The sequence below is a fragment of the Homo sapiens genome, chromosome 6 (genome assembly GCF_000001405.40).
Source record: "Homo sapiens chromosome 6, GRCh38.p14 Primary Assembly".
Lineage (NCBI taxonomy): Eukaryota > Metazoa > Chordata > Mammalia > Primates > Hominidae > Homo > Homo sapiens.
The window spans coordinates 37951484-37978297 of NC_000006.12; the positions used below are offsets into that span (position 1 = coordinate 37951484).

The 26814-nt window shown below is 39.2% G+C and overlaps 1 protein-coding gene across 3 annotated transcripts in view, besides 1 other annotated feature; it reads left to right on the forward strand.

Annotated features, from left to right (window-relative positions):
• Positions 1-26814, forward strand: part of ZFAND3 (zinc finger AN1-type containing 3) — a 334898-nt gene that overhangs the window by 131757 nt on the left and 176327 nt on the right. The gene's annotated exons all lie outside the window — the stretch shown is intronic.
• Positions 700-759: a silencer, noted in NCBI's record as "silent region_17160". NCBI's record gives its function as "represses an Ori minimal core promoter by ATAC-STARR-seq in GM12878 lymphoblastoid cells {active_cell/tissue: GM12878}" and the evidence as "EXISTENCE:reporter gene assay evidence [ECO:0000049][PMID:35858748]".

Consider the following 26814-nt stretch of genomic DNA (forward strand, 5'->3'; position numbering starts at 1 on the left):
ACACAGGAGGCTGAGGCAGTGGGATCAGTTGAACCCAGGAGGCTGAGGTTGCAGTGAGCCGAGATTGTGCCACTGCACTCCAGCCTGGGCGACAGGGAGACTCTGTCTAAAAAAAATAAAAATAAAGATTAAAAAAACCATATATCATTTGCAGAAAGCGATAGTTTGACTTCTCTCTTCATATTTGGATGCCTTTTATTTTTTTTCTCTTGCCTGATTGGTCTGGCTAGGATCTCCAGTACTGTGTTGAATAAGAGTGCTGAGAGTGGGCATCCTTGTCTTAATTCTGATTCTCAAGGGAAATACTTCTAGTTTTTGCCTGTTTAGTATGATGTTTGCTGTGGGTTTGTCATAGATGGCTATTATTTTGAGGTATGTTCCTTCAGTGCTTAGTTTGTTGAAGGTTTTTAACACGAAGCGATGTTGACTTTTATCAAAAGCCTTTTGAGACTGTTAAGATGCATTTATTGAGATGTTCACGTGGTTTTTCTTTTTAGTTCTGTTAATGTGATAAATCACACTTACTGATTTTTGTATGTTGAAACAACCTTGCATCCCAGGAATAAAGCCTGCTTGATCATAGTGGATTAGCTTTATGATATGCAGCTGGATTTGGTTTGCTAGTATCTCATTGAGGATTTTTGCATCTGTGTTCATCAGGGATATTGGTGTGAACTTTCATTTTTGTGTGTGTCTCGGCCAGGTTTTGGTATCAGAATGATGCTGACCTCATAGAATCTGTTAGGGAAGAGTCCCTCTTCCTCAGTTTTTTGCAATAGTTTCAGTATGATTGGTACCAGCTATCCCTTATTTGTCTGGTAGAATTCAGCTGTGAGTCTTCTGGTTCAGGGCTTTTGCTGGATTGGTAGGCTTTTTATTACAGATTCAATTTCGGAACTTGATATTGGTCTGCTTAGGATTTCAATTTCTTCCTGGTTCAATCTTGGGAGGTTTTATGTTTATAGTAATTTATCCATTTCTTCTAGATTTTCTAGAAGAAATGTGCATAGAAGTGTTCATAATAGTCTCTGATAATTTTTTTTTAAATTTCTGTGAGGTCAGTCGTAATATCCTCTTGTCATTTATGATTGTGTTTATTTGGATATTCTCTCTTGCTGAGGTCCCATTTCTGCCACTTCTCCATACAGCTCTTCCTGTCAGCTCAAATGTCTGTGGGGGTCCTGGGGTCTCCTGCAGCTAGGATTCTAGGTCCATAGTGAGAGTGGGCTACTTCTCACCAATTTAACTCACCCCTTCCCCAGGAACGACTGTGGGTCAGGAACAAGTCCTGGTGCTCAGCAGCCCCATGCAGGGTTCCCAGCTTCCTTCTCCTCTAGCCCAGAGTCTGTGTCCTCCCTCTTTCCACTCTCGGTGACTTTCTTCTGCAGATCTGCTTGGAGTGTGCTGGTCTTCTTGATGGTCTAGTCTCGGTGGGAAATATTCTTCCTGGCTATGTCTAGTTGCCCATCTTGGCTCTTCTCCCATTTATTTTTTCCGTAGTTTTTTTTCAATTCTTTTAACCTGTGGTGTTTTTATATTTAAAATGCTTTTCTTGTAGGAAGTAGGTAGTTGAGTGTTGCTTTGACGTGTACTACAAGTCTTTACCTTTTAGTTAAGGCATTAAGATGATTTTATTTAAATGTGGTTATTGGTATAATGAAGTTTAAATCTCTCATTTTGGTTTTAGTTTTCTATTTGTCCCATCTCTTCTTTTTTTCTTCTTTCCCTGCTGTCTTTTCAATTAGTTGAACATTTTTAATGATTCTAATGTATCTCCTTTGTTGACTTATATTAATGATTAGGCTAGGGTGTATCATATATATTTAACTTCTCACTATTTGTCAAGTGATATTCTATTACTTTATATGTGGTATAAACTTTATAATAATATACTTTCATTTCTTCCTTCCTGATCTTTATGCTACTGTTGTCATACGTTTTACTTTTGCATAATTATCTTTTTTTTTTTTTTTTTTTGGCCTTTCTTGAGACAAGGTCTTGCTCTCTTGCTGAGGCTGGAGTGCAGTGGTGTGATCATGGCTCACTGCAGCCTTGACCTCCTAGGCTGAAGCAATCATCTCATCTTAGCCTTCGAATAACTGGGACTCAGGCATGTGGCACCACACCTGGCTATTTTTTTTTATTTTTTGTAGAGACAGGGTCTCAGTATATTTCCCAGGCTGGTCTTGAACTGCTGGGCTCAACTTGTCCTCCTTCCTTGACCCCACAATGTCCTGGGATTACAGTCGTGAGTCATCACCCCTGGACTATAGTCAATTATCTTTTAAAGAGATTTAATTAAGAAGATATCATATGTACTTGTCTATTTAATAACCGTTTCTGCTGCTCTTGACAATATAGATCTAGATTTCTCTCTGGTATCATTTCCTTTTTGTCTGAAGAATTTCTTTTAACATTTCTTTTGGTAGGGGACTATTGGTGATAAATTCTTTCTTTTTTTCTAACTTTGAAAAAGGATTTCATCTTTGTTTTGAAGATATTTTCACTGGGTATAGAATTATAAATTGGCTTTTCTTCTTTAGTATTTTAAAGATACTGCTCCACTGTTTTGTCACTTGAATTGTTTGTGATGAGAAATTTGTTGGCTTTATTTTTGTTCCTCCATATTTAACATATCCTTTTTTTCTCTGGGTGCTTTTAAAATTTTCTCTTTATGGCTGGTTTTGAGTAATATGATTATGATGTGCCTGGTGTAATTTTCTCTTTCCTATGCTTGGAGTTCATTGAGATTTTTTGGACCTGTGGGCTTATACATTTCATTAAATAGAAAACCTTTTTTCTATTTTTTAAACACCTCCCTTCCCTCTCCCCATCACTTGAAGGAGATAACTGATAGTTATCCCACAGCTAACTGATGCTCTTATTTTTTTCTTGTTTCTCTGTGTTTCATTTTGGATAGTTGTTATAGCTTCATGTTCACTAATCATCTGCAATTTCTAATCTTCTGCTAATCCCATCCAGTGTATTTTCAATCTCACATGCTACAGTTTCCATCTCTAGAAGGCCAGTTGGGTCTTTTATATTGTCCTTGTCTCCCGTCTAGCTTTTTGCACACAGAATATAGTTATTCCGTATGTTTTAATGTTTGTATCTACCAATTATCTGTGCCAGTTCTGGGTTAGTTTTGATTGATTTTCCCCCTTCATTTTTGGTCATATTTTTATTACTGTATTTTGTCTCGTTGCATTGGATATTTTTGTATTCCTTAAAAACTTCCCATGCTTTATTCTGGGATACAGTTAAGTTACTTGGAAACAGTTTTATCTTTTGTGGTCTTGAATTTATTATTTGTTAGGCAGCCCTACAATTCACAGTCTAGGACTAATTATTCCATGCTTTTGAGGCAAGATGTCTCCTGTACTCAACAGTGTCCCATGAATTGAGAGTTTCAACCTTGCCTTGTGGGAACAGGCACATTCCCTGGCCTTGTGTGAGCACCAGGTATAGTTACCTCTAACCCTTTCAAATGGGTCTTAGCCTCAGGCTCTTTCCTCACACAGATGCCCTTACCCAGTAGTCAGCTAAATACTCCAAGGGAGCCCCTCTGTAGGTCTCCTGTGTTCTGTCTCTTCCAGTACTCTGTCCTGCAAATTCTAGCTGCTTTGTTCTCTGTGGACTCTCAGCTCTGCCTCTTCAACCAATTTTTGTGTGTGTGTGTGTGTGTGTGTCTCTAAGGGAATCACTGTCCTTATCTAGTGTATTGAAAACCGTTTGATACATTTTGGCAGTCTATTGGTTGTTTAAGACAGGAAGATAAACTTAGTCTCTCTCCATCTTAGCTAGAAGTGGAAGTCCTCCAGATCATCTTTATTAAAGTTAGTAGGAAAGCTAAAAGATATGTTGTTTAGTTCTGAAAAATAGAAAATCTCAAGGGAACCAAAGTTTGGTTGCTTTTTAAGGGACTTTCCGCTGTCCTGTCAGTTTACATTGGCCTTTAGTGATATATGTGCCATTCATTTCTGCTGTACAAGTCAGTAGTATTATATTTGAGCTTTTAAAGTGATGGAGCACCCCAGGATAGAAAGGCTCAGTGTTGGATCATAGGAAGAGAACGGTGGGTACAATTTTTTGGCTGCAAGTGCCAAAGTAGTAAGTTCTGCTATGACCCAGTAACTATTATAAACCACTTAGGCTCTGAAATAGGGAATTAAATGATGCCAGTGCTTTGGTGTACTCCAAGGAATCAGTGTAGCTTAATGAGTGAGAGCTTGAGCTCTGGAGGCAAATAGCCTCTTCCTGGCTCTGCCACTTTACCTCAGGGCAAATCACCAGTATAAAGTCCCAGATCAGCGCAGTAGTATGGGAATAGGAGCAAGGGTGAAATCTAAATTACATTGGGATAAAAGAATCCATGGGTTCTTGATGGGAATCATATGTAAGGAAAGAGGAAGAAATAAATGTGACTATAAGGTTTTCAGTCACTGAACAGAATAAGAAAATTGGTTGCCTGTGCTTGTGGGTGTGGGGAGGGTGGTTTAGAGTCGGGGTGGAGGGTTGTTGATGAACTGGGTTTTGGACGCAGCTTGAGATAATTTGGGAAGTGCATATGCTGTGTAGGGTACTCAGAATTTGGAACTCTGTGAAACATCTAAAATCAATTTTGAAAAATTGCCACGTTAAGATGAGGTCCTTGCACATAGCTAGTATTCATTAAATGTTTGAAAAACAAAATAATAGAGTTGAAGCTTACTGTGCTCAGGGCAATATTTCTAAAACTTGAGCATATACCTAGAGGGGCTGTTAAAACTCACATTGCTGGGCCACACTCTACAGAGTTTCTGATTTAGGAGGCATGAGGTGGGGCTGGAACCATTTGTGTGTCTTAAAAGTTCCCAGGTGCTGCAGTGGTCTGTGGATGACACTTTGAGAACCAGTGGCTTATGGAAGTAAATAGAACACAAAGGAATGCTCAGATCCTTGGAGGAGGAAGCAGAAAAGGAGATAAATGAAGTCACAGAGGTCACAACCATCAGTCAGAGTTAGATGACACTAGTGACATAGATTATAGAAAGGGGATATTTTAGGATTTCAACTTTGGGTAACAAATGGCATCAAGTGAGGTAGGGAGATTAAAATGAATGAGAAATGATTATTGGATTTAATGAATACTGTTATTTGTGATCTTGGAGAGCAGTGTTTATCTTTTTGGGGTCACGGAACTTTGAAAACTGATGAAAGCTGTGGATCCCTTCAGAAAAATGTGCAAGTGCTCATAGTTTTGCATATATTTCTAAGGAGGTTCATGAATTTTATTGAGGCACTTGCATCTGAAGTAATTGAGGCACTTACATCTGCTTTAGTATGGATGGTCTCATTAAGAGTGCTAAGTGTGGAAGCCAGATATGAAGAGAGGGAAAGCGTGGGAAGAAGGAAGTAATTGTGGATATGAACAGTCCTTCGGGATTGCAAAGCCTTTTGGGAGTGGACTGATAATTGTCCAGTTTCCTTACTTGGAGGTCTAAGCCTGTGACAGTCTTCACATCTCGCTGAGTTTCTAGGGATATTGTGAAAAAAAATGTACTCATTTATGAAAACTGAAATGACCCATGGCTTTCCTGACTTCCTGGTCACTTGTTTCTTTGCTGCTCTTCAGCTCTGGTGTGGTCAGAGTTACTGTGTTTGAAACGATTCAGTCTTTTAGTCTTTCTGTCCATGTGTTAAGCAAGTTCCCCCCCTTTCTTCCTCTCTTTTCAGGAATAACGCAAATTATCTTTTTCTAGAAGAACTATTCTATAACTTGCCAATTCTAGTTGAAACATTTTACCATTTCTTATATCCTTAGTCTCATGCTCTGGATTTGGCATCAATTTTTTTTTTTTCATTGAATTCCAAGACTCTTTTTGTTGATTGTGTAACCTTGGACAAGTGACATAAATGTCTCGGAGTCTCAGTTTGCACTTGTTCTTGGTGGGGATGGTGATAACCTGCTTTACAGTAGGTTTGTAAGGATCAAAATAAATTAGTGAGGCACTTACTAAACTTTCAACATGTATACATGTAAGTTGTTTCTTATTAGGTACAGTGTAATAAAATATATTGGTAAGCAATGCTAGGGTCATCTAGATTTGTTTTTTACTCAAGCAGAACATTTGGCTGTAGTATCTTGAAACTAGAAGCTGGTATGGAATAATTGTTGCACAGATTTAAAATGATGGATGGAATGAAAATAGAGTTGCCAGCTACTTTTTAGCTAAGAAATATGGTAGAACTCTACCCTTAGTTGTTTTCAAGGACACATGATCTACTCTAGGAAACTTGTCAGTACTTTTGTATGCTAGTTGCATACGGACCTAGGCCGAAATTATGAGGAAAAGCAGCAGGACCCTGGTAAATATTCCTGGTGGGATAATTTATGCATATACCTTTGGAGAAAAACTCCAATATGCTGTGTGTGTGACATATAGGGTGTTATGCTCTATGATTTGTTTGACTATATTTAATCCAAAAATCGTGTACACAAATCAAATAGAGGGACTGGACCAGATCAATGAGATCAATAACAAAGGTAAATTTGGATTTTTTTTTCTTGGAAAGAATTTATAATATGACTATGGACAGACAATTAGTCATAAAATTTTAAAAAATATTTGTCTTTATTCTTTAGTGGTGTCCATTCAGATCTGTAAATTTTCAGTACAAAAATATGATTTTAAAAATTGCTCATTTAGGCTGGGCATGATGGCTCACGCCTGTAATGCCAGCACTTTGGGAGACCAAGGTGGGCAGATCACCTGAGGTCAGGAGTTCGAGACCAGCCAGGCCAACATGGGGAAACCCCATCTCTACTAAAAATACAAAGATTAGCTGGGCGTGGTGGCGGGCGCCTGTAACCCCAGCTCCTCGGGAGGCTGAGGCAGGAGAATCGCTTGAACCTGGGAGGTGGAGGTTACAGTGAGCTGAGATTGTGCCACTGCACTTCAGCCTTAGTGACAGAACAAGACTCGGTCTCAAAAAAAAAAAAAAAAAAAAATTCTCATTTAGGTAGATTCTGAACCATTTTATGTAAATGAGATTTTTAAAAAATAATGCTGTATTTCTGCCGTCACTCTAATTAGCAATCCTGGAAGCAAAATATTTGACTTAAGATAATGAGCACTTGAATTGACTTATACTTAGGGAAAAAATGGAACTACATAGTCATAGCAATTAAGCTTGGGATGAGTATGTATACATCACCTTTTCTTCCACACTTAAGACTTCTAAAAAACCTTGCTTGGCTTTTCAGGACCGCCCCCCCCTTCCCCACCCACCGACGGACAAAATGTACCTTGTGTTTACATTGCTTGTATTTTACAATTGTAAATTTCCATAGGGATAGACGTGAATTCTGGTAAAATTTCTCCCCAAACCTTGCTTCATTTATTTTCCAAACTTTAAGATGACTGGCCCCCATTAATGTGTCTGTAAAGTTTGAACCTTAGTCAAAAGTACAAAAATGGTTAAAGGGCTTTAGGAACCAAATTCCTGCCATAGATTTTATCACCAACATCTTTCCTCTGGGTCATTACCCATTTGTTGGCTTCAGTGGAAGTATTGGTGAAGAATGAAAGAGCTAAGTCCTTGGGGTATAGAAGTGGAATAGTGAGTAAGCTGAGGTGTGGTATTCTCGGCAGCCCCCATTTCACCTTCTGAATTTGCTTAAATGCAAGACTTTGCTTTTGTGCTGGTTTTAACCAATGTGATGCAGCATAGCCTAACACAACACAGTGGTTTGTAAATCAGGCTCCAGTCTAGTTCTGTGACATTAATGTGCAACAGCAGAACGTGTTTCAACATTATCAGTGCAGTTTCTCTCCACGGTAGTGATGGTTTCCTGCAGATGCACTTAGTCTGACTTCATCAAAATGGAAATGTTAACATTGGAATTACATAGATGGCTCCAAATCCAGAAATTCTGTCCACTATTGTTATGTAAATGAACAGTGTCAAGAATGGATTTTCACTTAATTTTTTTTAGAGCCTAAAGTATTAATAGTTAGCCTATTCTCTGTTGGTTGTGGTAGTATTCCATTTTTGTTGCTTTACTGAATGTCAGTTTGAATAATATGGATTCATATTATGTATAGAAATGGTAATGATTTCACATAAATTGTCAAATATGTAAATATTTGAATATACAAGAATTTGATGTAGACATTATTGGAACTTACTATAAAAGACCTTACACTTGTGATCCTTGCTTCATATGGACAAGCATTTTCTGGAGCTGTTTCCTGGTTGTATCTGTATTTTGAAAGTCTTTCCATTAACTTTCATCTTCTAGATCCAGAATTAAATTAAGACTAAATAGAGGCTAGTTCCTCAGGCTTACAATTTAAACTGCTTTCTTCTTGAGAACACTTATCACCTAACCTGGGCCCATGAAACTTGAGAAGGCGAAATCTGTATGGAAATAAGTTGTATTTGTTCAAAAGATTTTCTTGAATATCTGCTTTGTTTACTGCCTTACATTAAGCACTTTAGGGAGAAGTAAATATATACTACTTGCTCTCAAAATCCTTAAAGTCTAATTGGGGAGGGTAGGCATAAGCATTGAAATAGCAACACAGTATTTCAAGCAAGACCACTGAAATGTGTTCTGAAATCTTCAAGATACCGCAGTGTAGCATCTATCTGTCTTAGCTATAAAATGGGGATAATAATAGCCCTACTTATTTTTCTGAGGATTAATTGAGATCCTGTGTTAAATAAAATAGTAAAACCACACTGAGCTGGTCAGCTTTAGGCACACTGACCAGCCAACTCACTCATGCCTGCAAAGCTGTCCTGCAACACAGGTAATTCAGATTCATACTTAGCAAAATCATTTGTTATATGCAGTGAACCTTGAAACCTCAAATGTCAGATCCTTGAATGCCAAATGTTTAGTGTGACAAACATTTCAAGTCTATGTGGGCAGCAAACATTCATATACATATACACCCTTTACTTTGGACAGAAGGCAATGGGGAGTACCATCAGTGATGTTTGCCTGAGCCTGGCAACTTAATTCCTTTGTGGCACTGCTCACTTTCCATGAATTACATCCTCTTAGCACGTACACATTCTGCTGATGTTCAAACAACTACCTTAGAATCCTGTAGCTACCTTCGCATTTGTGTGCCTTCCGTTTATAAATAAAGGGAATAAAGGGAAGTTTAGAAAATGTTGCTGTATTTACATGTTCATTCATTCTAGGTATAGAAACAGAAACTTCTCTCATCACAGTTTTTACTCATCTCCAAGTTAAATGACATTCATCTGTTCTGAGAGTTCTTCCCCACTCCTTTCCCTACCCCTTGGGAAAAAAAATTGACTGGTTTTGGTGGCTCACACCTGTAACCCCAGCACTTTGGGAAGCCGAGGCAAGAGGGTCACTTGAATCCAGGCATTTGAGACCAACCTGGGCAACATAATGAGACCCCACCTTTACCAAAAATTAAAAAAAAAAATCAGCTGGGTGTGGTGGGATGTACCTATAGTCAGGAGGCTGAGGTGAGGGTGTTGCTTGAGCCTGGGATATTGAGGCTGCAGTGTTCTGTGATTGCAGTACTACATTCAGCCTGGGTGATAGAGCGAGACCCTGTTTCAAAAAATAGTAAATAATCAGTGCTCTTAGGATCTCTGATTCCAGGACTTGGCTCTTGGATGGCATTTCTGGACCTGCCCTGGGCCACCAGACAGGAGCCCACTCCCTTGAAAAGTGAGTCACTGCCAGGTGGTAGTTGGGCAGTACTCCCTGTGGGCCTGAGGTATCAGTGGACACGAGGTGAGGCTCCTCTGCCTTTGGAAAGGGGAGGGAAGAGTAGGAAGGACTGTGTCTTGTGGTTTGGTTGCCAGCTCAGCCACAATGCAATAGAACACCAGGTGGACATCTAAGGTTTTTGACTGTAGTCTCTGGCTCCAGGATAGCACCTCTGGCCCCTCCAGGATCCTGGGGGAGCTTGCTGCCCTGAAGGGAAGGACATAGGTCTGCCTGGCTTTGCTACCTGCTGATTGTAGAGCCCTAGGACACTGAGCGAACAGAGGTGACAGCCAGGGTGTGGTTACAGTGGGCCTTGGGTGAAACCCAGTGCTATGCTGGCTTCAGGTTTGACCCAGCGAAGTCCTAGAGCTGGTGGCCATAGGAGTACTTGTGTCAGTCCATCCCCATCTCTAAGTGGCTCAGAGCAGAGAGAGAAAGAGATTCTATTTGTTTGGGAGAAAGTACAGGAAGAAAACAAGAGTCTTTTTCTAGTAATCCAGAGAACTCTTGGATTTTGTCCAAGACCGTCAAGGTGGTACCTCTTAAGAGTCTGCAAGAAACACAGTCCTGCTGGGCTTGAGGTCCCCCCTAAAGCAGATACAGCTTAGATCACAACACCTAAGTCCTTTAGAATATCTGGAAGGCCTTTCCAAGAAGGATGGGTACAAACAAGCCCAGACTGCAAAGACTACAATAAATACCTAACTCTTCAATGCCCAGACACAGAGGGGTGTCTGCAAGTATCAGGATGATTGAGGAAAACATGATCTTACCAAATCAACTAAATAAGGCACCCGGGACAAATCCTGAAGAAATAGAGATATCAGACCTTTCAGACAGAGAATTCAAAACATCTGTTTTGAGGAAACTCAAAGAAATTCAAGATAACACAGAAGGAATTCAGAATTATATCAGATAAATTTGAAAGATTGAAATAACAAGAATTAGGCAGAAATTCTGAAGTTGAAAAATGAAATTGGTGTACTGAAGAATGCATCAGTCTTTTAACGGCAGAATTGACCAAACAGAAGAAAGAATTAGTGAGCTTGAAGACATGCTGTTTGAAAATATGCAGTCAGGCAAAAGAAAAAGTAACAATGAAGCATGCCTACAGGATCTAGAGAATAGCTATAAGAGGACAAATCTAAGAGTTACTGGGCTTAAAGGGGAGGTAGAGATAGAGATAGGCATAGAAAGTTTATTCAAATGGCAGGAAACCTTACAAACCTAGAGAAAACTATCAATATCCAAGTACATGTGAGAGGTGAAGCCGGCTGGGCTTCTGGATCTGGTGGGGACTTGGAGAACTTTTCTGTCTAAAGGATTGTGAACACACCAATCAGCGCTCTGTGTCTAGCTAAAGGTTTGTAAATGCAGCAATCAGCACTCTGTAAAAACGCACCAATCAGCGCTCTGTGTCTAGCTAAAGGTTTGTAAATGCACCAATCAGAACTCTGTAAAATGGACCAATCAGCAGGATGTGGGCGGGGCCAAATAAGGGAATAAAAGCTGGCCACCTGAGCCAGCAAGGGCAACCCTCTCGGGTCCCCTTCCACGCTGTGGAAGCTTTGTTCTTTTGCTCTTCACAATAAATCTTGCAGCTGCTCACTCTTTGGGTCCGCACTGCCTTTAAGAGCTGTAACACTTACTGTGAATGTCTGCGGCTTCACTCCTGAAGTCAGCGAGACCACGAACCCACTGGGAGGAACAAACAACTCCGGACGCACCACCTTTAAGATCTACATGTAACGCTCACTGCAAAGGTCTGCGGCTTCACTCCTGAAGTCATGCGAGACCACAAACCCACCAGAAGGAAGAAACTCCGAGTACATCTGAACACCTGAAGGAACAAACTCTGGACACACCATCTTTATGAACTGTAACACTCGCTGCGAGGGTCCGCAGCTTCATTCTTTAAGTCAGCGAGACCAAGAACCCACTGGAAGGAACCAATTCCGGACACATGTAGCCTATGGAACACCAAGTAGATTTAACCCAAAGAAGACTACTTAAAGGCATTTAATAATGAAGCTCCAAAGGTCAAGAAATGGAAAAATTCCTTGAAACAAATGATAATGGAAACACAACATACCCAAACCTGTGGGATATAGCGAAAGCAGTACTAGGAGGGAAGTTCATAGCTATTAGTGCCTACATAGAAAAGAATAAAAACTTCAGATAAATAACAATGCATCTTAACTAAAAAAGCAAGAGCAAACCAAACCCAAAATTAGTAGAAGAAAAAGTAAAGATACGAGCAGAAATACATGAATTTGAGATGAGAAATAATACAAGAAATCAATGAAACAAACAGTTGGCTGTTTAAAAGTTAAACAAAAGAGACAAACCTTTAGCCAGACTAAGAAAAAAAAAAAGATCCAAATAAATAAAATTCGTTTCTAGTTCTTCAGCTTCCATCCTGCTTCACCAGCAACAGTAATACCTTCTCTTTATGATAGTTTCCAGTCTGCTTCTGAATGTAGAAGCCTTCTTTCCTCCTTTTCTTTCTTTGACTTTCTGCTGTTTTTCCTCTCAATCTAGAATTTAAAGATGTTCTATTGATCTAGGTGTCAAGCCCTCTTAAGATCTCTCTATTGGATATAGTACTCTCTCATACAGCAACAGAGTAAGTAAATAATGCAAGGTACATTATAGATAAATAGCTGTGCGTTTTCCTGTACTATTCCCAACATCTCAATTATGAGTCTGTTATTTTACAAATCCTACTTTTCTGGAAGAATTGTCAACTGTTTTTGGCTTGGGCTAGTGTTCCATATATTATAATCCTTTCCATATTTTGTTCTGTTGTAATTCTATTTCTCCTTCTGTTTCATTCTTTTTTCCCCCCTCAGGTTTTCCTTGTCCTCCCTTCTCCTAACTCCTGCAAAATAAAACAAATCTTTGAGTGCAAATCTTTCCTCAAGACTTCTGGACTATTGCTGTCTTTTCAAAGATCAGGTAATAAAGTAAAAGAGATATGAACTTTGATGTCCTGCTCTGATGCCTAGCTGTTACAGGTGCATTTACCTAGGTTCTGTATCACATGACTACCCTACCATGCTACAGGACCAGAAGGGATGCTTGATTCATAAGGTAGCCAGTCTATAACTTCTGACCTGTGTGGCTCTTGGGGAAAATGTGAACTTCTGAGAGAGGCAGAGGGAGATTAAACTGGTGATGTGCAGGTGTATTGGGCTGGGCCATCTTTGGTTGTGCAGGTTGAAGAAGAAGAAGACCTTGGCAAAGAGAACAAAGCAGAACCACTCATAGTGTCAGTGACTGCACAGCCCCTTAGAGACAGCCAGCCATCTTTGATTTCTGACATTGATTCAATCCCTGCCTTTGGATCCCAATGAGACGTATGTATTCTTGTATGCAGTTTATCTTCACTTGAGCCTAGTTAAGTAGACTACTCTCTTATATACCGCAGAGCAAAGCCAAAATACCCATATTCAAAGAACACCAACTGGTCTATCATGCATTCCGGCATCCCTTCTTCCATCATTTCTCAGTAACTTTAGTTTTCTTTTATTACTTTATGTGGTTTTCAGGACTCTATGGCTTAGTGATTAAGGGCTTAAGTTCATATCATTTACTGTGGAACTTAAGCAAGTTGTACATCCTCTCTGAGCCGTAGTTTTCTCATCTGGGGAATGAGGGTAGTAATAGGACTTAGAGCCCTGTGAGGATTTAGTGAGATACTGGGTGGACAGCATACAGTAGCAGGCATGTAGTAAGTGCCCAGTGAATATTAGCTTATTGTGTGTAAATGTAGGATATGAAAATTAGTGTGTTGCTTTTTAAACTATCTGTGGTAAAAGACCAGTTCTTTTCTTCCCTCAACCTATGACAATTCAGTATTTTTGTAAAGTACAATAAAAATAACTTGATTTTTAAAAGCACCAATTGTAAAGACATAAAATATGTCCTGATTTTTATTATTATATTCAGCAAACTTATTCTGTCAAGTTATTATAAAATTTTCTAAATTCTACCCTTAATTTCTCTACTTACTTTGTTTAGACCAGTAACTACTTATTGACCAGTTACTGGTCTATTTTTTTAGACCAGTAACAATTTCCAGACCGGCACTGATCTGTGGACTGTGAGTAGCACTGTCCTGGTGTATACAGACACAGTCTCATGGATGTCAGAATATATATGCGCACACATGTAATTGGGGAAAATACCCCAACCATTTCTATAAGGTTAATAGCGAGTAGCCGGGAGTTCATATATCCATTTCTTGACCCGGACAGTATACAAGGGACATCTGAGACCTCTGGAATTCCTTCCTTATATGATTGTTATTCCACTGCTTCCCAGGTGAGGGTTGTCATTCTTTTTTTTTTTTCCTTTGAGTTGTGCTGTTCTTCCCTTCTTGTCCTTCACTTCATGAGGAAACTATACTCCCTGAAGGCCAGGTAAATATATGTTGTCTTAGACAAATCAGCTGTGCTAAGTAGTTGAGAATAGGATACTGAATACTGCTGCCTTATGGACTGAAGTGAAGCAATCACTGGCAGTGTGGCCAGAAGAATAACTTTTTAAATTTGAGACAGGATCTCTGTAACACGGGCTGGAGTGCAATGGCATGATCATGGCTCACTTCAGCCTCGGCCTCCCTGGGTTCAGGTAACCTTCCCACCTCAGCCTCCTGAGTAGCTGGGACTATAGGCATGTGCTACCATGCCTGGTTAATGTTTATATTTTTTGTAGAGATGGGGTTTTGCCATGTTACCCAGGCTGGTCTTGAACTCCTGGGCTCAAGGAATCCTCCTGCCTTGACCTCCCTAAGTGCTGGGATTGCAGGTATGAGCCACATTTCCTGGCCCAGAAGAATAACTTTAATGATCCTTTACACAACCGCAAACCAGACTGCATGGTTTGTAGACAAAGGGGGAATGAATCATAGAAGAGGTTGGCATTTGCATTTTCCTTCTATGCAAAGACAGTGACAGACCATGATACAGAATTGCAAACAGCAGGTTCTAGAAATAGTAACTGTGATTGATGACTAAAAGTCTATACAAATGCTAGAATGTGACCAGGGTTGGGTATTCTCTTCCAAGTATTTTAGGGAAAACTAAGCATTACAGTACCAGATTTTATTTTCAGAGAAATTAGAATTTTCAGTTAAAAAGCACATACAAAGTGCCAGGCATTGTGCTAAGGTGCCTTATATCTCTCACTTAATTCTCACCACAGGTTGATCCTCATTATTCACTGAGCAGACAACGCTTAGAGAGATTAAGCAACTTGTCTGAGGCCTTGCGGTTCATAAGTGACTGAACCTGATTTTGAACCTAGGTTTGCCAGACTTACAGTTGAATTTTCTGGATTTTCTCATAAGTGGATTTTCTGGATTTACCTTAAAAAAAAAAATCACCATAACTTTGCTGGAACCATTTGAGAAGAAGTTGCCAGCTTGATGCTCTATCACTCCCAAATACTTTAGTGTTTATTTTCTACAAGAACACTTTTCTTTGTAACTAAAACAAAATGTCCAAAACCAGGAAATTTGTATTAATAGATTGTTACCATCTAATCCTCAGGTTTAATAATATCTTTTATAGCACACGTCCCCATAATGCCCCTTTATTTCCTTCTGGAACAGTTCCCTAGTCTTTTCATGATTTTCATGAACTTGGCACTTTTGGAGATGACAAACCAGTTATAAGTTGTATTTTCCTTGATTTGATTTTATCTGTTATTTCCTCATGTGATGCAAGCTATGTACCTTTGCAGGAATATCATGTAAATTATGTTGTTCTCATTGTACTCTGTTGTTACAGGGCATACATTTTCAGTTTGACTGATGACTAATGATGACCTCTCTAACTGCTTCATTAGGGTGATATCTGCTGGGCTTTAGTACTGTAAAGTTACTCTTCTTGTTTTTGTAATTAATAAATGTTTTGTGGGAAAGTATTTTAAAACTAGGTAAGTATCCATCTTTGTGACACTGTTTACTCATTTAATTTGTATCTACTTATACTCATGGTTTCCTATTTTATTCAGTGGATTATGATCTTCTGTACTGTTATTGGTTTTGATGCTCAAATTGTCCTAGATTTGGCCTGTAAGAGCCTCTTCAGGCATTCTATGTCTATTTTGAGTAGTTTCAGTAGTTTCTTGCTTTCTGGCACAAAAAAGATATTCTAAGCTCACCTTGTACTTTCTGCATCCCAGCCCTAGATAATCAGTCATTTCTCCAAGGAGCCTTGGTTCTTTTTAAGGGAAAGAAGTATTTAGAAGCCAGGATCTGGGTAACCAGTGTGCTCATTACCATTGGGGTGTTGCTACTTCCAGATCCTCTCAGTGGATACTTTTACATTTACCTATATTTTCTATGTTTATTTCTATGTTTAAATATATTGAAAATTGTGAATTAATACTGATAACTCCAGTTCCAACTCAATACCTCAGGATTCATTCTAGTTTTCTCACTTTCTTTTATAGTGTTCTCTTACAGCAAGAAACTTGGTTTCCATTATCCTTGATACACATGCTAAATGATTGGTCTTCTCTTGTATGTTGCCAACCTCCCATCTTTGACACTATTTTCTCCCCTTCATGGATGTCCTGTTTTTCCTTTTTAAGTGTTGACTCCACATTCCAGACACTTCCCCTTTTTTGATGTAGTCACCCTTTTCTCTCCATGTGGGCTCTCAAGTAAATTTACTTGATGATTTTATTTTACTAACATAATCCTCTTGTTTTGGTGTTTTTGCTGCCATACGTAAATTGTAACATTAAAGGTTCCCTAAAACAATTGCCCTGCTGGTAGGAGAGCACCAACTAGAATATCTAAATGGGAGTAATTGAACATTAGAACTGAAAAATAACATTTCCTGGGATCATCCTGGGTCAATAATTTGTATTCTGCAAGTGATCACAGGACTAGAATTGGTTTTTTGACAAGAAATTGGGATTTAATGGGCTATCTCTAGAAGTCTCATTAGAGATTTAAAAGAAAAACAAGTTTTACTATTCTGTAGAGGATGTAGAATGAGATACGTTCCTGGGGAGGCAAGAGGGCTAAGAATGGATGGGGGAAAAAAAGCGTTTTTATTGAAATTATTAATTGGGTGAGGCCTAACCATTGATAGGATATTATGCATTTAGTAAGCCAAACAAGATAGAGAGGTGGGTTAGCGAATACTAGATGCAGACCCCTCCTTGGAAGGGTGAAAAACCAGACCACCTGACAGAGGATCAGTAGGAAGCCTGAAGCTGGGTGTTAATATGGGGGTGTGGTATTGGTAATATTTGGTGTGTGCTGCTCCATGGGGAAAATAAGCAGTAAGGATGGCTAGCAGTTACTACGAGAGAGGCTTTAAATCTTTTCAGAGTGAGAACTGGGACAGGGAGTGACCAGGGTTGGCACACTCATTCCCAAGACCACATACTTTCTCATGTTTTCTCATCAGGCCAAGCTGATCAAATTTATTCAAACCCTTCCCCCTTCCCCCTTCCGCCTTCCCGCTTCCCTTTCTCTGTGTTGCTGGGGCTGGTGTTAAACTCCTGGTCTCAATTAAGTGATCCTTTCACCTCAGCCTCCCTGGTTGCTGGGATTACTGGCGCAAGCCACCATGCCCAGTTGACCCTGTGTTTTTGAAACACCCGAGTGTGTCCAGTAATCTGCGAACATTATGAAGTCCTACCCCTAAAATTCTTAAAGATATATTTCAGTGCAGTTAAACTGCAGTCATGTGTCACTTAACAATGAGGATATGTTCTGAGTGAACTTCCTAGAGTGAACTTCCACAAACCTAGTTGGTGTAGCCTACTACACACCTAGGCTATATGGTATAGGCTATTGCTCCTAGTCTACAAACCTGTGCAGCATGTGACTGTACTGAATACTACAGGCATTTGAAACACAGTGTTAAGTGTTTGTGTGTCTAAACATAGAAAAGGTATAGTAAAAGTACAGCATTAAAATTTTATGGTATCACTGTCGCATATGTGGTCCATCATTTACAGGAATGTTATGTGGCACATGACTGTTTATGCTATTTGGAGTATTTTTAAGCAAGAGAAAGGTATATAGGGGAATCAAATACAGATGCTTCTTGATTTAAAATTAGGTTACATCCTGGTAAATCCATTGTAAGTTGAAAATGCCGTAAGTCAAAAAGGTGGTTAATACCCTTAAGCTGCCAAACATTATAGCTTAGGCTACAACCTACCTTATACATGCTTAGAGCACTGACAGCCTATAGTCGGGCAAAAATCATGTAACAGAAAGCCTATTTTATAATAATGTGCTGAATATCTCATATTTTATTAAATAGTGTACCAAAGTGAAAAACAAAATGGCTGGATGAGTACTCAAAGTATGGTTTCTACTGAATGTGTATTGCTTTTGTACCATGGTAAAGTTGAAAAAGTATGTAACTCAAACCATTGAACATCAGGGAATGTCTGTATACAATAGTGGTCAGAGTAGTGAGTTACTCAGAAGAACTAAAATATTGTGTGTGAGGGGAGGGGACTTGCTTCAGTAGTTATTGAAATTTGCTTTAATTTTTTTTTCTCTGTTCCCCTGTACTAGATTTGAGTATTTGGGAGATACTTACTCCCTAAAAATCTGAGGGAAACTGCTTCTTTGATGGGAACCTTGCTTAGTAGATTCTTGCTCAATGTTTATTTTTAGGAAACAATCAAATCCCCTTGTGGTTATTAAATTAATTTAGTATCAGGCCGGGCGCCAGTGACCTCAGGAGTTTGAGACCAGCCTGGCCAACATGGTGAAAACCCTGTCTCTACAAAAATCCCAGCTACTTGGGAGGCTGAGACACAAGAATCGCTTGAACCCAGAAGGCAGAGGTTGTAGTGAGCTGAAATGGCACCATTGCACTCCAGTTTGGGTGACAGAGCAAAATAAATAAATAAATAAATGAATAAATGAATAAATATAAAAATAATTTAGTATCATTAAAATCAGAGAATTTAGAAGGCTTGTTAGGATGTAAAGTCATACCCAGAAGAAAAACATGTATAGGTCAGGGATCAAAAATGTGTCAGATTTTTCATAACAAGAAAATGTGAATAGTTGGTAAGTCCGTAAATGGTATATGGCAGATCCTTGAATTATGCTTGCAGTTTTTGAAAGTTTGAAATTAAGTAAAAATTAAAAGTCACAAAAGATTTTGCATGTCAAGATTCTAGCCTTTTTCTTCTGGTGTACTGAGAGGCCAGAGGAGCCCATTCTAGGGACTAAGTATTGACAGAATTTGGTTCTGTGGCAAGAATTACCTGGTGTCCTAGCACTAAGGACCAGTAGGTCAGAGCCCTTGACTTAGATTTCAGGACAAGAAACAGAAAGATTGGAATAGGATTGGAATGGAGTCTCCCCGTGATTTTAAAAAACACTTAGTATGGGGCCAGGCGCGCGGTGGCTCAACGCCTGTAATCCCAGCACTTTGGGAGGCCAAGATGGGTGGATCATGAGGTCAGGAGATCGAGACGGTCCTGGCTAACATGGTGAAACCCCGTCTCTACTAAAAATATAAAAAAAATTAGCCGGCCGTGGTGGCGGGCGCCTGTAGTCCCAGCTACTTGGGAGGCTGAGATAGGAGAATGGCGTGAACCGTGGAATCAGAGCCTGCGGTGAGCTGAGATCGCACCACTGCACTCCAGCCTGGGCTACAGAGCGAGACTCCGTCTCAAAACAAACAAACCAAACAAACAAACAAACAAACAAAACCCACTAAGTATGCATTGGTCTAGGACTACCATTTATGAATATCCTTAGTCTTTCTGTGATGATCCTTGTTGAAAATTTAGATTGATGATGTAGTTTGTGATGTTGATACAAGTGTATTTGTTCACAGAGATTTGAGCATATTCCTTTCAACATCAGGAATAACTTTTAGTTTTTGTTTGATTGTAATTTTTTAGTCTCCATTCTCTGTAATGTGCTTTACGTTGAACAAAGTGCTTTTGTAGTTCTTGTTATTTTGAACCCATAATCTGAGACCTTTTTTTCTAAGCCGTCTCGTGCCCCAGCCCTTACTTACTGAGCCCTCTTATTGTATATACTGAACGCATTTTTAAATTGAAGAGATACTATTCTGTGTATCTTTGCAGGCGAATGAGTCCTAGGTTGGCCAGTGTCTCACTAGTTGAGATTAAATTTTTGCTTATACTTGTTGATTTGACTGCCTTCTGAATAGTATTAGGAACACATTGTAAATTTGTTGTTGATGGCTGGCTGAAGTTTTCCAGCACATTTCTTGAGGTTGCCAAGTTCTTCTACAATGACTGAATCTACTCTTCATTCATTCTAGTCAGCAGTCTCACACTTAATTCCAAGGTTTACTTAAGATTTTTTTCTGAAAAAGCAATGCTTGCTTTCCATATTTGCATATTTTTTCTCTGCCTTAATAGCAGAAACAATGGCTTCATCTTGCATTTGTATCAGATTCTTTCCATTGATATATCTTGTCCTTATTAGCTAGTTGTTTCCCAGCTGGGTGCAGTGGCTTATGCCTGTAATCCCAGCACTTTGGGAGGTCAAAGCGGGAGGATTGCTTGAGCCTAGGAATTCAAGACCAGTCTGGGCAAAATAGTGAGACCCCATCTGTACAAAATGAAAAAAAAAAAAAAAAAAAATTAGCCCAGTATGGTGGTGTGTGCCTGTAGTCCCTCTACTTGAGAGGTTGAAGTGGGAGGATTGCTTGAGCCGTGATCTTGCCACTGCACTCCAGCCTGGGCGATAGAACAAGGCCCTGTCTCAAAAAAAATAAAATAAAATAAAATAAAAATCTTTGCTTTCAAAAAGGTTTTTGGTTGCATAGGAGGGAAAGAAAAAAAATGGAATATCGAAATTAGTTGTGTATGCTGAGTTTTTCTACCACTTCCTTCCTTTGGGTTAAACAGCCTCTCTCCTATTTATTTTAACTTGTTTGCAATTTATTAGGCTTGGTAGGACCCAGCTGTTATACCTCACTCAGCACATTACCCATTTTGCTTTTTTAAAGTGACTGAGGCAGCAGCTGTTCTCCAGCTGCACACAGAAGGCCCACATAAAGCTGGGTTTAGCACATAAGCCCCACTCTAAGAGCATTAATTCACCAACCCAGTCTTTCTATTTTGTCAGCCACTCAAAGTTTATACTTGCCTCTGTGAGGCTTCAGAAATAATGGATAAATCTTCTGTTAATGAAAATACACCTCCAGATATAATATTCACACTAAGTGTGGTGTTAGAATAACAGATATGGCTCCTCAGTAGTTTTTGGACTCTTGTAGGTATATGGAATTGTGAGACTGTTCATTTTGAGGATCTGTAAAGAGTTAGGACTTACCAGGTATGATTTGAAACACTCAAGATTGTCTCTTGGAGTCTCACACAACAGCTATTATTTTATTTGAATGAGATTATTAGCAGATTGATAGTTGGACCAGGTGCTATACTTTATGCCCTCTCTTCCCTTTGTAAGGTTTTCAGGCCTATTAATTTTTTTTTTTTTTTTACACCATTGGGGTAAGATTTTATTTTGGCTGAAGGTACTTAAAATGGGTGGGTGAGTGATAGATAATATTTGTCTTCACTATTGGCTGTAAACTGGGATTAGAGTAGATTTATTTATTTATTAAGCAGTCAACTAGAAACAAGTGCTGTGAAGTCAATAATATATGGCTTTAGTGAAGATTCCACTTAACTGAAAGTAGACCTGAATTATTCATGCAATTTGCCAACATTTATATCCATTAATAAAGTGGTAGTTTATTTTGAAAAAAACTTTGCACTTACTGAGTTTTTGTTGGCATTTCCCTCCCTCGAGTTCATTTGTCAAAGTCATCATGAATATACTGTTAGTATATTCATGGCTTTTGATTGTTTCACTGCTTTTTCTTAGTTTCTGAGTTGCTGATTTGGTAAAACTGTCATGATTTTCTTTGTCAGTTTTCAAATGTTGCAAAGGGGGCAGAACAACTTTGAGTCCCATAGATGATTGATGGTGCTTTGCAAGTAGTTAAATACACCCAAGGTAAAGGAAATTTTATGGGATTAAAAAAATTCTATGCTCCATTCTAGGTTGATAGTATTTGAAGCAAATTTCATTTCATTGGTGGGTGGCCTCAGTACCTAAACTTTAAAAAGCATGGATTCATAAAACTGTTACAACACCACTTATGAAAGTTTCTGAAGAACTAAAGAGTTGTTAAAAAGCTACTGTCTTTCTCTAAACTTGGTTACTGTGGAGTAGCACTGTCTGATGCAACTTTTTGTAATGATAGAAATGTTCTCTATCTGTGCTATCCAACATGGTAGCTACATGTGGTTATTGAACACTTCAGGTGTGGCTAGTGTGACTTAGGAACTGCATTTTCCATTTTATTTAATTGTAGTTAATTTAAATAGCCACATGTGTCTATTGCTTTCTGTATTAGATAGCACAGCTCTGAAGCATTACACTGAGTACTTAAGCTAAGCTAGTGTTTCTGAGAGAAAGTGATCCTTTGTGATTTTCCTGAAGCTGAAGAAGGCCTGTGTATGGCCTGGAGTCAGAAATTGTTGTGACTTTTCTTGATTTTTTCATGAAATAATTTAAGGACTGTCTTTTCTTTCAAATCTGGGAAAATTCTGAAATGTTCTTTCTCATCTACTTAGAAAGCATTTACTATCACCTTTGACGAGCAATACAGTGGCCAGTATATTGTGTTGTAGGTTTGATTAGTTCTCTATCTCAGAGAGACAGCTTTAGTGACCGAGAGTTTATTGCCTATCTGCAGGAAAATAATAAAGTTTTCCTGTACTCAAAATTGCCAGACTTGGAAGTAGAAATAGCAGCTTTTGCCTTTCTACAACAAATAATTATTCTTTTGGCTAATTCCCATACCTGCCACCTTTACCTTCATTATTTTCTCTGAAAAAGAAATCTGGGCTCATTGCAACCTCTGCCTCTCCCCTAGGTTCAAGCGATTCTCATGTCTCAGGCTGCCGAGTAGCTGGGATTGCAGGCGCCTGCCATGACACCTGGCTAATTTTTGTATTTTTTAGTAGAGACGGAGTTTGACCATGTTGGCCCAGCTGGTCTCGAACTTCTGACCTCAAGTGATCTGCCCTCCTCGGCCTCCCCAGACTGCTGGGATTACAGGCGTGAGCTACCGTGCCTGGCCTGAAATCATGCATTATATACTCTCTCTCTCTCTCTCTCTTTTTTTTTTTTTTTTTTTGGAGACAGGGTCTAGCTGTGTTGTTCAGGCTGGAGGGCAGTAGCGTGATCACACCTCACTGCAGCCTCAACTTTCTAGATTCAGGCAATCCTCCCACCTCAGCCTCCTGAGTACCTGGAGCTACAGGCGTGCGCTCCAACACCTGGATAATTTTTGTAGAGATAGGGTCTTGCTGTGCTGCCCAGGCTGGTCTCAAACTCATGGGCTCAAGCGATTGTCCCACCTTGGTCTCCCAAAGTGCTGGAATTATAGGTGTGAGCCACCATGACCAACTATATATACTCTTGTTTGGTCTGGCTACTTTCACTCAGCATATTTTGAGATTCATCTATGTTGTTGTCTATATCAATAGTTCATTCTTTTCTTTTGCTAAGTAGTATTCCATTATGTGGGTAGTACTACAGACTGCCTAATCCATTTATTAGTTGATGGACATTTGGTGGCTTTGAGCTCCTGAACTCATGTAGTCCTCCTACCTCAGCCTCCCAAGTAGGTAGGAATATAGATGTGTGCCACTATGTCTGGCTATCACATAAATGTCTTTATATGGATGTATATTCCTTTGCTTCTGGGTAAATGCCTGCAAATGAAATGGCTGATCATATCATAGGTTGTATGTTTTAACTTTTTAAGAAACTGCCAAACTTTTCCAAAGTGGTTATATTGTTCAACATTCCTACCAGCAGTGTATGGAAGTTTCAGTTCCTCCATATCCTCACCAACACTTAGTATGGTTAGTCTTTTTAATTTTAGACCTTCTAATAGGTGTGTACTGATTCCTCATTATGGTTACAATTTGCATTTCTCTAATGACATTGAGCATCTTTTCATGAGCTTATTGCCATCCATGTATCTTCTTTGTTCAACCGTTGAAATTTTTTTGCCTATTTTTAAATTGGGTTTTTTTCTTTTGTTACTGATACTATTAATATCCTTTATTCTGGATACAAATCTTTTTCATATTTATGTTTGCAAAGATTTTTTCTTGCTCTTTGACTTGTCTTTTTTATAACAGTGAGTTTTGAAGAGAAGTTTTTCATTTCAATGAAGTTCAGTTTATCCATTTGTTCTTTATGCTTTTAAATATTTTTTCTGCATTTTCTTCAGGAAGTTTCATAGTTTCAGGGTTTATATTTATACTGATGATTTATGTAAATTTTTATATATGATATGGAGGTATACATCTGAGTTTATTATTTTCAAGCACCAGTAGTTGAAAAGGCTATCTTTCTTCACACTGCAGTGCCTTTGGGACTTTGTCAAAAGTCAGTTGTCCATATATGTGGGGGTTTTTTTTCTGGAGTTTATATTCTGTTGCATTGATCTGTTTGTCTGCTTTATGCCAATACCTCTTTTGATTACATAAACTTTATAATAATTCTTGAAATCAGGTAGTGTTAATCCTTCAACTTTATTTTCAGAGTTGTTTTGGCTATTCTAGGCCCTTTTTATTTCAATATGAGTTTTAGCATCAGTTTGTCAGTTTCTCCCAAAAATCCTGCTGGATTTGTGGTTGGGATTGCTGTGAATGTGTAGATTAACGGGAAAATTTACATCTTAACAATGTTGAGTCTTTCAATCTATGATAGAAGTGATCTCTCTTTAGGCCTTCTTTAATTTCTCTCAGCAAAATTTCATATTTTTTGTTGTATAGGTCTTTCACATGTTTTGTCAGATTTATCTCTAAGAAGTTAATATTGTTGATGCTACTTTAAAGGGTATTTAACCTTTGAAAATAGTATGTGATGGTTCATATATTGATTTTGTATCTGTAAACTTGGTAAACTTATTAGTTATAGTAACTTTATTATTTATTCATTGGGTTTTCTATAAAGATGTATTAGTCCATTTTCACACTGCTGTAAAGATACTACCAGAGGCCAGGCGTGGTGGCTCATGCCTGTATTCCCAGCACTTTGGGAGGCCAAGGTAGGTGGGTCAGTTGAGGTCAGGAGTTTGAGACCAGACTGACCAACATGGTGAAACCCTGTCTCTACCAAAAAAAGACAAAAATTATCTGGGAATGGTGGCACACACCTATAGTCCCAGCTACTTGGGAGGCTGAGGTGGAAGAATCACTTGAGCCCCGGAAGTAGAGGTTGCAGTGAGCCGAGATTGCGCCACTGCACTCCAGCCTGTGTAACAGAGTGAGACACTGTCTCCAAAAAAAAAAAAAAAAAAAAAAGATACTACCCGAGACTGGGTAATTTATAAACAAAAGAGGTTTAATTGACTCACAGTTCTGCATGAACAGGGAGGCCTCAGGAAACTTACAATAATGGTGGAAGGCAAAGGAGAAGTGAGGCATGTCTTACATGGTGGCAGGTGAGAAAGAGGAAGGGCCACACTTTAACACCATGAGCTCTTGTGAGAGCTCCCTCACTATCATGAGAACAGCATGGGGGAAACCACCCCCATGATCCAGTCACCTTCCACCAGGTCCCTTCCTGGTGGGGACACGTGGGGATTACAATTTTAGATGATATTTGGGTGGGGACACAGAGCCAAACCATATCACCAGACAATCATGATGTTTGTGAATGAAGACAGTTTTACTTCTTTCTCTCCACTTTAGATACCTTTTATGGTCATGTGTCTCTTAATTGTGAGGATGCATTCAGAGAAATGCATTGTTAGGCAATGTCATCATTGTGCTAACATCATAGAGTATACTGCACCAAATACTGTAGGCAATTGTAACACAATGGTAAATATTTTAGTATCTAAACATAAGTAGAAAAGGTATAGTAGAAATATAATCTTATGGGACCCTCATTGTATATGTGGTCTGTCATCGACTGAAATGTTGTGTTACGTCGTATAACTGTATTTCTTTTCTCACATGATTGTACTGGTTAGACTCTTCAGTACTATTTATTTATGTATTTATTTATTTTTGAGACTGAGTCTCGCTCTGTCGCCCAGGCTGGAGTGCAGTAGCACGATCTCAGCTGACTGCAACCTCTGCCTCCCGGGTTCAAGTGATTCTCGTGCGTTAGCCTCCCGAGTAGCTAGGATTACAGGTGCCCACCACTACGCCTGGGTAATTTTTGTATTTTTAGTAGAGACGGGGGTTTCACCATGTTGACCAGGCTGGTCTTGAACTCCTGACCTCAAGTGATCCGCATGCCTCAGCCTCCCAAAGTGCTGGGATTGCTTACGGACATGAGCCACTGCACCCAGCCTACAATGTTGAATAGAGGTGGTGGGAGCAAACGTCCCTTTCTGTTGCTGATCTAAGAGGGCAAGCTTTCAGTCTTTCACCAGTAAGTATGAGATTAGCTATAGGTTTTTCACAGATGCTCTTGATTAGGTTAAGGAAGCCCCCTTTTATTTCTGGTTTGCTGAGTTTTTTGTTTTTTTTTTTTTTCAAATGAAGAATGAATGTTGAATTTTGTAAAATGCTTTTCCTTCCTTCCTTCCTTCCTTCCTTCCTTCCTTCCTTCCTTTCCTTCTTCCTTCCTTTCTCTCCTCTCCTCTCCTCTTCCTTTCTTCCTTTCTTCCGTTCTTCCTTTCTTCCTTTCTTCCTTTCTTCCTTCTCACTCTGTCTCCCAGGCTAGAGTGCAGTGGCTTGATCTCAAGCTCACTGCAACTTCCGCCTCCTGAGTTCAAGTGATTCTCCTGCCTCAGCCTCCTCAGTAGCTGGGATTACAGGTGCCCACCTCTATGGCTGGCTAATTTTCGTATTTTTAGTGGAGACACAGGGTTTCACCATGTTGGTCAGGCCAGTCTCGAACTGAGACTGTGCCTGGCTGTAAAATGTTTTTTCTATGTCTGTTGAGATCATGTTGTTTTTCTCCTTTAATTCATTAATATAGTGAATTAATTACACTGGTTGGGTTTCAAATGTTAAAGCAGTCATACAATTTTGGGATA